The sequence below is a fragment of the Homo sapiens genome, chromosome 12 (genome assembly GCF_000001405.40).
Source record: "Homo sapiens chromosome 12, GRCh38.p14 Primary Assembly".
In the NCBI taxonomy this organism is placed as follows: domain Eukaryota; kingdom Metazoa; phylum Chordata; class Mammalia; order Primates; family Hominidae; genus Homo; species Homo sapiens.
The window spans coordinates 127,373,380-127,374,860 of record NC_000012.12 but is presented as its reverse complement, the minus strand read 5'-3'; the positions used below and the strand labels follow the sequence as shown (position 1 = coordinate 127,374,860).

The window sequence follows — 1,481 nt, the reverse complement described above, 5'->3', positions numbered from 1 at the left end:
TTACTTAATTGTTTTGTATTTCTGGAATTAACTCCTATTTAAATAGACATCCTGCTCTTGACTTTGGCTCTGAGAATGGATATCATAACTGGGAACAGAGGAAGGGAGGGAAGGGAGAGAAAGTGAGAAAAGTGGGAGGAAAGGGAGGGAGAGGGAGAGAGAAAGTGAGGTAAAGAGGGAGAGAGAGATGAGAGAGAGACTGATTGATTGATGGCATTCCTGGCTCTTTCCACATGACAAAGGCAGAGGGGAGCAGAGGTAGAAGCTGAGTCAGCTTCTTCCTGGATGGGGACATCTGGTCCTGTTCTTGTCTTGGCCAGGCTGAGCAGGGAAATCTAGGAGGTGGCATATCAGGACCACAGATGGCAAAGCTCCTCTAAAGCACAGAGTTAGGAGCATTGGGTCCTAGAGCCAGGCCAACCTGGCTTCAAATATCTGCTCTGCCACTTATTGGCTGTGGGACCTGGGGCAAGTCCCTGGATGTCCCTGAGCCTCAGTGTCCCCGCCTACAACACGGGGATGACAGCACCTCCCCAGAGGCCACTTGACTCCAGAGTCCACACATTCATCCACCACCCTGAAACTCTGCAGATCTCCACACTGCGCCCATCCCCAGCCAGGCCTGCTTCCCCCACGTGCACGCTCGGCTCCTGGTGGCGTCGGCTTCGCCATCCCCATCTCATGTCTCTGTCCGCTGTGTTTCGGCAGCTGAAAGCCCACAGAGTGTATCTGATTTGTATGGAAACATTGTTGATCATCTAATTAAGGTCACCCTCCAAGGGAAACTGAGGCACGGGGTGACCTTTCCCAGGTCATTTATCCTGTTATTACTCTGGTTCAAAGAATGTGTTTATTGTACCCAGCCAGGCAGCGCCTAAACAGACCTTAAAATCCACACCTTCCAAGTCCCAGTTCTTTCCTCTGAAATGTTTGGCAATCGGTGATGAGGACCATGCACTGTTACTGATTTCAGTGATACTGCTGTTGGCCTTCACATTTCAGATGAGACACGCAGACCTTCTTCAGTGGCACACCAGCAAGCACACTGCAAGTGATCAGTTGTTAGACAGTCACTTGGCCACGGGCCATTTGTGTTTTCACCAGAAATTCATTCTTGTTCCACTACTAATAGATTCAACTTTCTGCTCCCAGTCCATGGGCTGAATACTTAGTGATTCTGATGTGAGTTGCCGTTCAAAGGGCATCATTTGTAACTCTAAGAACAAGCCTCTCATTCAGTGAAATTCCTGTTAATTAACTCTGCCTGTGGCATTTGTTTCTGGGAACCTAATTTGTAAAGGGTTTACTAAGCTTTCGGTAATTCCAGAGTTCATGAGGTTCTTCAAGTCCCATTTTTGTGTTGACAGAATTTTCCATCAGTCTCCCCTAATCAGCAAATGGCACCACCATCATCCCACTGCTTGGAATAAAAATAGAGGAGTCACCCAGGATGCTTCTCCATTTTCAAGAATCATATTCAG

The 1,481-nt window shown here is 48.0% G+C and overlaps 1 annotated feature.

Annotated features, from left to right (window-relative positions):
* Positions 582 to 1,083: an enhancer, noted in NCBI's record as "H3K4me1 hESC enhancer chr12:127858323-127858824 (GRCh37/hg19 assembly coordinates)". NCBI's record gives its function as "activates a minimal SCP1, AML or CMV promoter by ChIP-STARR-seq in naive H9 embryonic stem cells {active_cell/tissue: H9 hESC(naive)}" and the evidence as "EXISTENCE:reporter gene assay evidence [ECO:0000049][PMID:30033119]".